Raw genomic sequence first — 14,711 nt, 5'->3', positions numbered from 1 at the left:
CATATTGGCCAGGCTGACCTAAGTGTAATTTTATAATATGAAAAGGCATAATGATTTTACTGAAAATGTGTCTTTTTGTGAAACCATCATAACCATACAGTTAGGATACTACCTACTAATTGTCCAGGGATTTTTCATCCAGAGAGCCTAACTTACTATTTTTAGATATATGAAAAGTTTAATTCATCCCAAATCCTCTAATTCAGAAATGACTTATTAACATGTGGGATATCTCCATAGAAAATACTAATTTGCTTGTGAGTGTGCTTGATTTTCTTTCTTTCCTGCAGAATTGAGATCCTACTCTAAGTATCACTTTTCTTACTTGATTTTTTTTTTTTTTTGGTGGCAAAATAGGCATAACATAAAATTTACCTTAACCCTTTTCTTTTTTTAAAAAAAAATTTTTTTGAGACAGGGTCTTGCTCTGTCGCCCAGGTTGGAGTACAGTGGCGCAATCATGGCTCACTGCATCCTCTGTCTCCCGGGTTCAGGCGATTCTTCTGCCTCAGCCTCCCAAGTAGCTGGGATTACAGGTGTGCGCCACCACGTCTGGCTAATTTTTGTATTTTTAGTAGAGATGGGGTTTCACTGTGTTGGCCAGGCTGGTCTTGAACTCCTGACCTCAGGTGATCTACCTGCCTCGGCCTCCCAAAGTGCTGGGATTATAGGCGTGAGCCACTGCGCCTGGCCTGTCTTAACCATTTTTAAGTGTAGAGTTCAGTGGCATGAAGTAGATTCACATTGTTAGGCAAACATTACCATCATCCAGCTCCAGAACTTTTTCATCTTCCCAAACTGAAACTCCCAATCCATTAAGCAATAACTGCCTGTTCTCCCTGCCCCTCATGACCGCTGTTGCTTCTGTCTCTGTGAAGTTGACAACTCTAGCACCTCATGTAAGTGGAGTTAGACAGTATTTGTCCTTTTGTGTCTGGCTTACTTCACTCAGCATAGTTCTTCTGGGTTCGTCCGTGTTGCAGCATGTGTCTGAATTTCCTTCTTTTTAAAGACATAATAAACATTAATTGCACGAATATGCCATATTTCATTTGCCCATTTGTATGTCTGTGGAAATTTAGGTGGTTTCTGCACTTTGTTTTTTGTTTTTTTTGAGACAGAGTCTCACTCTTGCCCAGGCTGGAGTGCAGTGGTGCAATCTCAGCTCACTGCAACCTCCACCTCCTGGGTTCAGGTAATTCTCCTGCCTCAGCCTCCCGAGTAGCTGGGATTATAGGCATGCACCACCACATCCACCTAAATTTTTTGTATTTTTAGTGGAGACAAGGTTTCACCACATGGGCCAGGCTGGGATTACAGGCGTGAGCCACTGCACACGGCCAGGTTTCTGCATTTTGGCTATTATGAATGGTATTCATAATATTCATAATAATGATAATGAATATTATTAATAATGCTATAATGAACATCGGTATACAGATATATGTTACAGACCTTGCTTTCACTTGTCTGCTGTGTATACCCAGAAGTGAAATCACTGAATCATGGTAATTCCATGCTTAATTTTTTGAGTAGCCTCCATCCTGTTTTCTATAACAGCTCTTCCATTTCCACCAGCAAGACAAGGGGGTTCCAATTTGTCCTCATTCGTATGAACACTTTTTTTTTTTTTAAATAATAGCCATCCTAATGTGTGTGAAGTAGTATCTCACTGTGGTTTTTGATTTTCATTTCCCTAACGACTAGTGATGTTGACCTGTTAGTACTTTTACAACTTGATATTTACTCTTCTCATGTTAAAAGTTACAGATTCAAGTGCACAGTAGTCATTTAGTGAGGTTTTGCTAAATTTCATCCAGTATTCCAAGTACTTGACATATTAATTTAATCGTGTCATTTGTCAGTTTTTACAGGTGAGGAAGTTCAGGCACAGAGAAGTTAGGTAACTGACCCAAGGTTATACTGGTAGTAAATTCCTGAGCCAGGATTCAAATCCAGTCTGTCTTTTTTTCTTTTTTTTCAAGACAACATCTTGCTCTGTCACCCAGGCTGGAGTGCAGTGGAACGATCACAGCCTACACTCCAGCCTTGGCCTCCTGGGCTTAAGCAATCCTCCAGTCTGCTGAGCAGCTGGGACTACAAGCGTGAGCTACCGCACCCAGCCCTGTCTTTCTTTGAGACTAGAATTTTAACCTTTTAGTTATATTACACGTAGAGCTGCTGCAAACTTCTTGTACATCCCACGCACCTGTACAGTTATTTCTTTAATTCTAAGATGTGCAGTTACTGTTCAAAGAGATGAACAATTTTAAGGCTTTCTATGTATGTGCCAAATTGCCTTCCAGAAAAGGTTGCTTCAATTGCACATACTATACCAGCAGTATATAATATACCCATTTCTCTACTAACATACCATTCCTAAGTGTTTCCTTTTTTTGGAGTCAGGGTCTCACTCTGTCACCCAAGGCTAGAGTGGAGTTGCACGATCCTAGCTCACTGTAGCCTTGAACTCCTAGACTTAAGCAATCTTCTTACCTTAGCTTCCTAAGTAGCTAGGAGTACAGGCGTGCGCCACCATGCTGGGGTTTGGTTGTTTTGTTTGTTTCTTCCTTAAATGGAGGAGGTCTCTATGTTGCCCAGGCTGGTCTTGAACTCCTGGGCTCAAGTGATCCTCCTGCCTCATCCTCGCAGAGTGCTGGGATTACAGGTGTGAGGTGGGATTACCATGCCTGGCCTTGTGTTTTTCTTAAGGAAATGTAAAAGATACTGATTCTTTGTCATAACATGTTTTTACAAATATTTTTCCAAGTTTGACATTTTCTTTTAGTTTTGTCTATTGTATTTTTTTGCCTCATTAAAGTTTCATCTTTCACTAACGTTTGTGTAGTCATGTCTGTCTTCTCATTTGTGGTGTGTCTTTGGTATTATATCTGGAATATTAAAAATGATTTACATAGTTACATGCACAGATCTTACGTATACAGTTCAGTGAGTTTTGACAAATGCTTATACATATCTAGCATAGACCCCGTTGAGTTATAGACATTTCTGTCACCCTGTGAAGTTCCCTTGTAGTTTTTCTAGTCTTTTTTCCCTGACTCAGGTAACCACTGTTCTGATTTCTATCCCCATAGATTAATTTTGCCTGATTTAGAATTTCAGGAAGAAAAGGAATTGTATACCCTCTTACACGCTTTCTTCACTCAGAGCAATGCCTGTGAGATTCATCCAGGTCATCTTGTGTGTCATTAGTTCTTTTTATTTCTGGGGAGTAGTGCTTTGTTTGGATATATCCATTTGTTTATCCATTTTTCTGTAGGTGACTTTGGGGTTGTTGCCAGTTTGGGGCTATTACAAATACAGCTGCTAGGAATTTGATTGGCATCTCACTGGATCCATGGATCAAATTGCAGATAATTGACATCTTAACAGTCCATGAACATGATGCATCTCTTCATTTATTTAGGTCTTCTTTGATTTCAGCAAAGTCTTACAGCTTTTAGTGTAGAGATCTTGCACATCTTTTGTTAAATTTATCTAAGTGTTTTATGTATCTTAACGCTGTTTAAATACCAGTGTCCTTGCCTTTTCCAGTATGTTTATTGCTAGTATTAGACATTTTTGTATGTTTGTATATTGACAGTGTGCCCTGCGTATTTGCTAAATTCACTTAATTTAGTAGGTTTTAAAATAGATTTCTTAAGATATCTCTTAGGAATATCAAATAGAATCATCTACAAGTAGAGATGGCTTTACTTACTATTTTCCAAACTTACACCTTGTGTTTCTTTTTCTTTCCTTAATGCACTTACTAGAACCTCCAATACCATGTGGAATAGAAGTGATGGGAAGATAGCTTCGTCTTATTCCTAATCTTAGGCAAGAAACATTCAACCTGGGAATTTATTTTTATAATAAGAGAAGAATCCAGTTTTTGTCCCAAATGGCTAGCCAGTGATCCCCAGAACTCTTTATTGAATAATTCAACCTTTTCCCACTAATTTGAAATGATACCTTTAGTACATATTTAATTCTTACATATACTTGTGTCTGACTTATATCAAAATATTTCCTTTAATTCAACACTTTGGTAAATAGAAGTATAATGGAAATTAGAAGCCTTAGTGAGACGTCAGTATGCTTCCAGGCTTTTAAGGTAAGCACCTAATAAGTGCTTTCTAAAGTGTGGGAGGGGCCTCCAGAGAAAGGGGAGGAGATGGAATGTCAGACAGCTGACCACCCCCTGATATGCTGCTCTTTCAAGGAGCTCAGTCTGAGAAGGGTCATTTATCTCCAGAAAAGAAGCTCTATTAGCTGACCACGGTTGTTACAAACAGACAGATGAGATGGACCAATCGTAGTCTCCCAAGGCATAAGGTGTCCTAGTGGAAGGATCCTGGGGAGGTAGAAGAGGACGGGGCTCCTCTGAGCTGCATTTTGGGGCTGTTGAGATGAGCATTGCTGTCTGTTTGATTCTCCAGGCAAAGGCCAGGATGGAATTGGTAGCAAGGCAGAGAAGACTCTGGGTGACTTTGCAGCAGAGTATGCCAAGTCCAACAGAAGTACGTGCAAGGGGTGTATGGAGAAGATAGAAAAGGTAAGATCTTGGGGGCCCAGATCCCTGAACTTTATGGATTGCTTGCAATGATGTTATTGGCTATCTCAAGAGAAAAGAAGAAATGGGGGCTTTAGGGTGCTAGCTCAACGTAAGTGATTAAAAATAAAGTGAAGACATTAGTATTGACCAGATACGTCAGTGACTTCCAGACAGGTCTGGTCCTCCTTATCACGGTCCAGTTCTCATGTATGTATGCATCTGCTCTTGGAAAATGTTAACAAAAGGAGTCTCTTTTGGACCCAGCAGTGGCTGGGGAGAGACTGTTTGTCTGTGTTTTATGGTAGAATTAGGTATAAGGAGTGTGTTTACCCTGTTATGAGCCTCCAGCCTTCTGTTTAATCAAAGGAACTTCATTAACCAGGCTTTCCCACCAGTTCTAGCCCTTGAAGGCTGACAGCCAGTCAGAGAAAATGGATGGACACACAGGTAGAAGGGAAGGCTTGTGCCCCGCAGCCTTCTCACCCTTCTCTAATGTGACATGCACATATTAATTGATTCATTTAAGGCATTAATTGAAAGTCTCTGCCTCCCGGAGGTATTGTACAGAAAACTGAGGTGAGCCAATGGGTATTTAGAAAAGAAAAACATGGAATTGCTGTATCTTCTCCAGCTACCTTCAACCACCAAAAATTTAAGGCAAACATTAAGATCCTCTTTACCTCAAGGGGAATGCCGGATGGTATGTGCTGCTGGGTTACTGGTTTTATGTAATGCCAGGAACCCCTCCTGCTGCATTCTCTGGATTGAGCCTCCCAGGCCTGGAACTCTCCTGGGAATATCAGGCCTGGGGACTGGGGACCTGGGCAGGCTGGCAGGACTGGATTCTTGCCTGTGGGTTTATTACTCCTTAGGGGGTGTCATCTGTAAAGAGACTAAGGAGGCCATAGGAGGGTGGGAGTGGACAGAAAGTCCCTGCTAGTACAAAAGTGCTGCATTGGGGGCTGGGCACGGTGGGGTGGTAGGCTGAGGCAGGAGTATTGCTTGAGTCCAGGAGTTCTGGACCAGCCCGGGCAACATAGTGAGACCTCATCTCTGCAAAAAAATTAGCCAGGCAAGGCCGAGGTAGGAGGGTCACTTAAGCCTGGGAGGCAGAAGTTGCAGTGAGCTCAGATCAAGTCACTGCACTCCAGCCTAGGCAACAAAGCAAGACCCTGTCTCAAAAAAAAAAAAAAAAAAAGTGCTGCATTGGAAGCCCACGCAGGTGTGCAAGGCTCTAGCTCTGCCCAGCACACCATACCATGTGTTTTTATGCCTGCCCCAGGTCAGCAGAAACATCTTAAGGGGAATGTTAGCAATTCTTCACATGTCCAGGCAGGTAGGTAGGTTGCCAGCCATTTGGAATTTAAGGAACCCTGAGTCTTGAGGGTGGGTAACACACAATCCTTGATGACCTGAGAGAGCTAAACCTCTCAAAAGCTCATGAGTCTTCAAGTTGGCGGGCAGGCCTTGGCTTGGACCCTCAGCTCCTCACTGGCTGGAGCACAGGCTGCCCGTATCATGTTCACTATCCTTGCTTGTCGCTCCCTTGGTACCACATATGGTTTTTCCTGCAGGGCCAGGTGCGCCTGTCCAAGAAGATGGTGGACCCGGAGAAGCCACAGCTAGGCATGATTGACCGCTGGTACCATCCAGGCTGCTTTGTCAAGAACAGGGAGGAGCTGGGTTTCCGGCCCGAGTACAGTGCGAGTCAGCTCAAGGGCTTCAGCCTCCTTGCTACAGAGGATAAAGAAGCCCTGAAGAAGCAGCTCCCAGGAGTCAAGAGTGAAGGGTGGGTGGAGCACTGCGGGGTTGCCCTGGGGGTTCAGTGAGGGGTTCAAGGGAGGCCCAAAGGCCCTACAGGTTCCATACCACTCCTCTGTTTCCCTTCGCTGACTGTCAGTAAGCCAGGGAGATGCAAACTGAGGAATGGTGACAGCAGAGATGTGGGGGCAAAGGACAGGGTAGGGAAAGACAGCCAGGGGTTCCCATGGCCTCTGCTGAGAGCCCTCTCCCCTGTGAGACCTGCTTCCTGGTGGTCTATTCCCCTTCCAACATCTGAGCTCCATGGACAGGCTAACTACACTTTCCCACCACAACCCTTTAGATACTTAAAAGACCACCTTCCTTCCCTGGGTATTTGTTGTGCCTGGGTTGATCACTATTCGGAACAATGCTGGGAGAATGGTGACCATTTTTAGTTAGGGGATGGGCAGTGGATAATTTTCCTGGCTTAGAGTTGAGAATGATAAGGGTTTTGCATGGTGTTAAAATTTAGAATGGGAAGGACCATCAGTGACTGTCTTGAATCCATGGACACCTCTTGGTCTCTCCAGTTTACCCTCTGCTGGTCCCTCAGCCTCAGTCTGGAGAACTGCTTGTTAACAAGCACACCAGGGGTGGTGTGGCAGAGCCTGGTATGCACCCTGCTCCTTGAACGGTGACTGGGCAACCATCAAGCAGCCATCACACATTATCTCAGTTCATAACGCCTGTTCATTGCAGCAGCACATGGGGCTCTAGAATGTGGAAGAAAACTGAAAAATCAGGCCATGGGTCAAAAAGGCCACAGGGCATTGCAGCATGTGATATAGGTGTTGGAGTTCATCAGCTCCCACTTATGCCATGATAACTGCCAGAATGTGTTGAGCACATTTCGTATGCCAGACACTATATGAAGCCCTGTATTTGGACTGTTTCATTTGCCCATCACCAGAGTTCTGTGAGGCAGATGGTATTCTTTTCCCTATTTTATGGATGAGGAAAGTGCAAGGGTTTGTGCTCAGGTCTATGTGATAGCTGAGACTGACAGACCACTGCGGCTGTCCTGCGCCTGTATTTTGGGGGCAGGTGATAGCCTCAGAGCTGTGTTTGCTGAGCCAGCTGGGGCAGGCTGGTTAGCACTGCTTTGACTGTCACTTCTTGTCAGGGCTTTATATGGCAGTACAGCCCCACCTCTGTGAGCAGCCTCTTTCCCTTGCTCTGTGTTTTAGCTCAAAAGGCCTAGCTCCCTGGACTTGTGCTTTGTCTTTCTGCAATCCCTACCCCCTAGCCATGGGCTTACCTCTAGCCTAGTCCCGGCTAGAACCTTCCAGGCCAGGAGATACATGGGTTTCTTTTTTTTTTTTAACCTCAGACGGGGTCTGAGCCCTGGATTCTTGTAATGGGTTGTTCTGAGTCCCTGGAACAACCCTAGCCCCTCTCCCTGGCTGGGAGAGTATGTTCTGAATTGGATGGTGTCTTCTGCCATCTTGGCTGCAAGTACTCCCTGAGTAGACAGTGATCGCCTAAGGGCACTGAGTGGGGCAGGGGTTAGGGAGTGACAAGTGTGAGTAGGCCCTACAGGGAGTTGATAGAATGACATTAAGATACTGCATCACCGCAAGTCATTGGGTGTCAGACTTTTAATGGCTCTGGCTGTCTCTCATATCCTGTGTCTCCTTCAGAAAGAGAAAAGGCGATGAGGTGGATGGAGTGGATGAAGTGGCGAAGAAGAAATCTAAAAAAGAAAAAGACAAGGATAGTAAGCTTGAAAAAGCCCTAAAGGTGAGTTCTCAGCTCTGTGTCTCCTTTCGACATTCTGCTGTCTGGATTCTCTTTCTCATTCTGGGAAGACAATTCAAGGAGTTGTGTCCCACTTATTAAGACCTTTAGCAAATTGATGGCAGTTATTAAATAGCATGGCTTTTCCCCAGATTCTTTTTCCTCCTCCAAAAGAAACCATTTTTATTTGGAAGAGAATCCACATTAGGCTGTAGGTGTCTGACCTGCAGCCAGGCTTGAGCAAGGGCTGAGTGCTCTGTTTCCGCTCACCAGCCTCATACTGGGATGACAGAGATTCATGCTTTGGCCAAATTATGCACAACTGTACACCCTGCACCTTTGTGGTCACTTGCAAACTTTGGAAACTGAATACTTAGAGGATGCCAAAGATTCTTAGCATAGACAAATGGCTTGAAGAGATCAAGTGTCTCCACATTTTTTAAATGAAGATCTTCATTTTTAAAAAAGGAATAGACTGATAATGACAGAAGAAAACTATCCATTAAATCAGTGGTCCTTGACCAGAAAGATTCATCCCTGTGTTGATTATGTACATGTTGAAGCAAAGCAAAAATTATTAATCAGAAAATGCTGGATGTCTGGGAAATTGAGGGAGAACAGTTGGTCTCTCTTGAGAACATGATTTCTATGAACCATCTGCTTGTGTCTCTTCTATGAGTATTCAGTTTTTACTAGTGGTACTAAAATTAAAAGCAGTTTCTGATATGGTTCTAGTTGCTAAATAAGAATCACACATTTTGTTCAATTGTCTTATGGTAAAAAAGTGTCTGTCATGCACCAAAACTGGCTGCAGGAGAACTGTGGTGCCACTTCACATTGGCCATTTGGTGAGATTAGTGTCCTTCTCTCTTCCCTAGTGGTATCAGAGATGTATAGAGAGTCAGAAAATTAAAATGCCCCTCAGCGTTCCCACTGTGGCACATCTGTGTCTGTTGGCTCTCCCCCCTTGGTCACCCAGGTGACATTGTTGTACTTCTTCCATTTAACCCTGTATCACTAGACCTTTTCCTCATCCTCTCATGTCTCCATTCCTGGTGTCCCAGTGTATGCTGTGTGTGATGGAGAGGAGATGTCGAGAGACCCCTTAAAAATGAAGCTGGGAAACAGGTGCAGACGTGTGTGCCTGTACCTTTGCCAGTGGAGTTAAAATCCTCTTTTGATACTAATAGCAACCCTATAGGATATGATAGGGCTGGCATTTTTGTCTCCATTTTGCAGAGGTGGAATCTGAGCAGAGATGGCGAATAACTTGCCCATTTTCCTGGGGAAGGAGGAGACTTACCTCAGCCTTTAAAATGGAGAGGCTGATAGCTTCCTCAGCAAGCTTGATTGTTATGAGAATAAATGAGATGAGGCCGGGTGCAGTGGCTTGAGCACCTGTAATCCCAGCACTTTGGAAGGCCGAGGCAGGCGGATCACTTGAGGCCAGGAGTTTGAGACTAGCCTGGCCAACATGGTGAAACACCGTTTCTATTAAAAATACAAAAATTAGCTGGGCGTGGTGGTGCACACCTGTAATCCCAGCTACTCAGGAGACTGAGGCAGGAGAATTGCTTGAACCCAGAAGGTGGAGGTTGCAGTGAGCTGAGACCGCATCATTGCACTCCAGTCTGGGCAACAGAGTGAGACTCCATCTCAAAGAAAAAATAAGTTAGAAGACACGTAAAAGCATCCAACCAAGAGTAGGCACTTAATAAAGATTAAAACTTCCATTTTCAGAAGAGCTTAAATACATTCCTGCATGATACTGAATATAATATACCATCAAGGAAATTGGTGTTTGCGAATCATTCCTACTCTAAGATTGGTGGAGAATGGCCATACCCTGCCTCCTCTAGTTGCTGATAAACGTGGGCCGTGGGCTCAGCCTAGCACCTCCAGGCTCTTACCTGGTGTTTCTGGGGATTGATTTCTGAGGGTTGGTTCCAGGAGCCTTGGTGCAGTCTCCCCCACACCCTTAGGGCTTCCTCATCACCTTCCACAGTATTCTCTGAGAGACCACACAGCAGGTTTAATTTGGTGTCCACAGGAGCATGACTGGGAGTCAAATCCTGTGCTAATCACCCAGATTTGCAGGGGCAGCTCGCTGGTGCACAAGGGTATAACTGGAGGCTCAGCATGACCAGGGCTCCTCCTCCAGTTGGATTCTTCCTTTGAAAAGAGCTAGCCTCTCAGCCACTGGGTCTTGTCCATAGGCTCAGAACGACCTGATCTGGAACATCAAGGACGAGCTAAAGAAAGTGTGTTCAACTAATGACCTGAAGGAGCTACTCATCTTCAACAAGCAGCAAGTGCCTTCTGGGGAGTCGGCGGTGAGCTGCCTTTGTGTTAAGTGGGACACGCATGTGAGGCCGACCCCGTCGTTGTGGAGTGACTGTCCCAATGGAGTGTGGGAGGCCCTCCGTGTGAACACCTGCTGGTATTAATTGCAAGGAGTATAAATCGTGGTTGTGTTGCACGGTCATCACCACCATCGTGGTCACCATTTTTCCGGGGTGGATGGGGCCGGCATTCACACGCCCCACCAGACATCTTCCACATGTTAGTGCTTGCTCTAGAGTGCCAGGCCTGTGAAGAGAGGAGAGCCCCCTCCTGAGGGGTGGCATGATGGTTTCCCATCAGTGTCCCCAGCTGGCCCTTCTCTGCTGTCATTCTTGGGAGTTGGCTTGGCACTGTACTTTCTGCAATGCCAGTGGTTGCTTTCCCTTCATTTCTAAATCACTGAGGGTTGGGGGCGCTGCAGGAACACTTGGAAATAAGGTCTCCTACAAGAATCCAAGCTCCATTGTAAACCAAGGGTGGGTGGGGTGTTAAGAGCCCCATAGCAAGCCCACAGCAAGAAGCCTCTCTTCTTTGTAGTGAGTGGAATCTGTGCAAGTTCCTCCATCCCACATTAGTAAGTGTCCTTTTTTGTAGTCCCGCATTTGCCCTCTGACATGTTTCTCCACTGGCTGCAGATCTTGGACCGAGTAGCTGATGGCATGGTGTTCGGTGCCCTCCTTCCCTGCGAGGAATGCTCGGGTCAGCTGGTCTTCAAGAGCGATGCCTATTACTGCACTGGGGACGTCACTGCCTGGACCAAGTGTATGGTCAAGACACAGACACCCAACCGGAAGGAGTGGGTAACCCCAAAGGTAAGGGGTAGGGGAAGATCCTGGGATCTGTTGGGAGAAAAACCTGGCCCCACTTTCTGCGCTTGTTTATACTTCAGGTCCCTGAGATTGCAGGGCCATGTTCCTCAGACTTCTTTACAGCTGCGTCATCCTGTTTACCAGAATATAAAATTACATGTTTGCAAACTACGCAAATGTAGAACCGAAGCTCCTCTAAGTATGGAGTAGAGGTCCATTTGGTGTAAAATGTTGCTTGCAAAGACCATGAATAGTTTTTATCTATTGAATGCCTCCTATGTGCCAGGCACAGTTCTAGGCTTGAGGGACATATGGTGAAGAAATGGATAGTAATTCCTGCTTTCTGATACAAGGTTTTTTCAAGGACATTTCCTTGCCTTAGTGCTAGCAGGAGAATTGGATCCAGGGTTCACGTATCTCCTAGTATCGCACGTTCTCTCTTTTTTTAATGGAACTGCTTATGGAATTCTCAACGCAAAATACCTCCATGGGGAGCCTCCTTTGGAGCCGGCTGGTGGGGTTCTAGCAGTATCTTTGTGGGGCTGGCTGCTCCGAGGCCTTTGCCTGTGCTCCCTCAGACTCAGCAGGACCCAGGCCCAGCAGCCTGGGTAGGTGCAGAGCTCTGCCACTCACCAAGCTGCTTCCCTCGCTGTTGCACTTGGAACAGCGGCACACAGTACACACTCAGGAATCGTTACCTGAGTAACTATCGACATTACTCGCTCTACACCTACAACTGAACTCCATTTCCACTGGCCCCTGGCTCACTTGTTCACTGCCATGATTGCATGATCCCTCCTAATTTTCTCTCTGTGCGTTTGAGTGGTTCCTCTAAAATAAATCTGACCTTGTCACTTCCCCCACCCTTAAAATCTTAGACTGATTCCCCGATTTTTCTGGGTATGCAAATCTTACAGACCCTTACGTGGTATTTGTATTTCTTTTACTATCTTTGATGGGGAAATAGTAAGATGGCAATAAGCAATGTGCCATTCCTTGTATTTTATATATCAATTGTAGAGCATCTATATACATTTTTAAAGGTTATGTGCATGTGCGAGACAAGTTTTTGGTCTGGCAGTGCTTGCTGCCCAGGCAGTGACACTGTTGCCCCCAGGCACTTGTCCCACAGAATCAAGGCCAGCTCTGTAGCTTGTCCTCAGAGCCCTCTGTGATGCGGCTTTGCTGGCCTTCTGCAGCCTTTTTCTGCCACCCTTTTCTTCCTTCTCACATACCCCTCTCCCCACCCCACCGCCAGTCTTGCTCATTCTTTTTAGGAGTACCTAGCAATAGGGCGCCTAGCCAGGGCACCCCACATGCCACCGTGTGCTACTCAGATGGCTGTGCTTAGGCAGTCCCCTGTGTTTTCAGCTCCCAGTGGGCTTAGCAGATCACTGCCTCCAAGTGCATGCTAGCATTCCCTGTCTCACATCACCTTGGCACACCTCTGGCATAGCTTAGCTCCTTTGTTAAAGTTCACCTTCCTATAGCTGATGCTCAGTCACGAATGAGATACTTTCTGAAGAGCAGAAACTGTCTTTTTAACCAGACTATGGTTGGTAGCACATATTAGGTGGTCTGTGTGTGTCGGAAGCAATCTGTGACCTCTTGTATCTAACTGACATCCTGAACACAGGCATAGCTGGAAAGGGCAGTTTCTTGATTGGATGAAGACCTGGGAGCACAGTATCTTTCCCTGAGCTTCATGTATTTGATACTTATTGAGTGACCATTTAGAGCAAGGCCCCTTGTAAATCAGTCAGAGTGAAGAGTGAATTGTGCTGATGGAAGAATTTATAGTGAATACCATAGGGCTCCCTGCATTCATTTTTCCTTCTTCTAAAAAGGAAAGCAAATACTGTGATTTCCTTTTGGGTAATAATCTCCCAGTGTGTATATAGTATTCGGGGTCTTGGAGTTCTGGAGTAGGCATGTGATCCCACAGAGGCCTATTAACTCTCGAAGGGAGCAACTCAGGAATGAGGCCAGGGAGGTTGTAGTCATACAGCAGTTCCAGTGGTGGTTCCCTGACCGAATTGGCCACTGGTTTCTGTTTTTGTTTTTTTTAGGGAAAGATTTTTCTCTTAAAGCAGCCACAATATTAGCCCTATTATAAATGTAAAAGTACCGGAAATAAGTACTGTAGCAGCAATAATACTGTCTTTCATCCTTAAAGCCTCACATTTTTCTATTTTTTGTTACTCTTTATTGTAAGAAGAAAAAAAGAGATTATTTGATTTGGACAAGCCAAATCCTCTTTGGTCTATGGGGTGGTTACCTCAAGGGAGAGCTGGCTTCTTAACTAAAACTTAATATTTTTTAGGAATTCCGAGAAATCTCTTACCTCAAGAAATTGAAGGTTAAAAAACAGGACCGTATATTCCCCCCAGAAACCAGCGCCTCCGTGGCGGCCACGCCTCCGCCCTCCACAGCCTCGGCTCCTGCTGCTGTGAACTCCTCTGCTTCAGCAGGTACAGCATTTGGGACCCCGGTCTTAGAGCTGCTTTGCAGGAATTGTTTGCCCACTACTTGCTGGTGGTGTGGAGCTGGTGAAGAAAGTATCCGTCAAGGGTCTCTCTTTGCTGACCCCACCATGGGGAAGCCTTGCCCTGCAGGGGATAGGCCTCTTCTCTTGGCTTGTTACACCCCTGACCACAGCAAGGTGGGAGAGTGTTAAGAACATAGCATCGGCTGGGAGCAGTGACTCACACCTGTAATCCCAGCACTTTAGGAAGCTGAGGCAAAAGAATTGCTGAGGCCAGGAGTTTGAGACCAACCTGGGCAATGTAGTGAGACCCCATCTCTACAAAAATGTTTAAAATTAATCCGAGTATGTGCCTTTAGCCCTAGATACTCAGGAGGCTGAGGCGGAGGATCCCTTGAGCCTGGGAGGTCAAGGCTGCACTGAGCTATGATCACGCTAATGCACACCAGCTTGGGCGATGGAGTGATACCCTATCTCTAAAAATAAAATAAACATTGTAGAAGAACAAGCAGCTCTTACTCTGGGAGGCTAGGAGAGGGGCTCCTAAGAAAGGCTAGGTCGACAGCCTTACCTGGAGTTGGGCGCAGGGTCTCCTGCCTGACTGCACTGCAGAGGAGCATCCCAGGCCTCACTCTCCAGGCTGCCCTGCGCCCACCAGTCATCCGGGCCCTGGTGTGATGCTCAAGTCTCTGTTGTATGCAGAGGGAGTTACTAATCAGCACTAGTGAGAAATGCCCCAAGCCAACCAAGACAGTGAGAGCAACGTATTTTTTTGGCAGGAGAAGTGACCCGCTGCTTGTTTACTCAGAGACATGTGGCATAGTCTATTGGTGAAGGTCACAGTTTGGTGGGTGGAGGATGAGGGTTCCTTCCTTGAACATAAACCTGTTATTGACTTCCTTTTCATATCCTGAGAGGGGACCAGTGGTCACTGCAGTGTGTGCTGGTGGTCATCCCGAGTCCACTGTGCTGCTGG

At 45.6% G+C, this 14,711-nt stretch overlaps 1 protein-coding gene across 1 annotated transcript in view; it reads left to right on the top strand.

The window, feature by feature from the left end:
- PARP1 (poly(ADP-ribose) polymerase 1) overlaps positions 1-14,711 on the top strand; it is a 47,403-nt gene that overhangs the window by 11,337 nt on the left and 21,355 nt on the right. Inside the window, exons 3-8 of the mRNA NM_001618.4 lie at positions 4,443-4,558; positions 6,133-6,347; positions 8,002-8,101; positions 10,315-10,431; positions 11,077-11,253; positions 13,574-13,721. Of these exons, the coding sequence (NP_001609.2) occupies positions 4,443-4,558; positions 6,133-6,347; positions 8,002-8,101; positions 10,315-10,431; positions 11,077-11,253; positions 13,574-13,721 (873 nt within the window). The remainder of the gene's footprint in view (positions 1-4,442; positions 4,559-6,132; positions 6,348-8,001; positions 8,102-10,314; positions 10,432-11,076; positions 11,254-13,573; positions 13,722-14,711) is intronic.

The sequence above is a fragment of the Homo sapiens genome, chromosome 1 (genome assembly GCF_000001405.40).
Source record: "Homo sapiens chromosome 1, GRCh38.p14 Primary Assembly".
Classification (NCBI taxonomy): domain Eukaryota; kingdom Metazoa; phylum Chordata; class Mammalia; order Primates; family Hominidae; genus Homo; species Homo sapiens.
The sequence above is the reverse complement of the archived record's forward strand: the minus strand, read 5'-3'. Positions and strand labels throughout refer to the sequence as shown.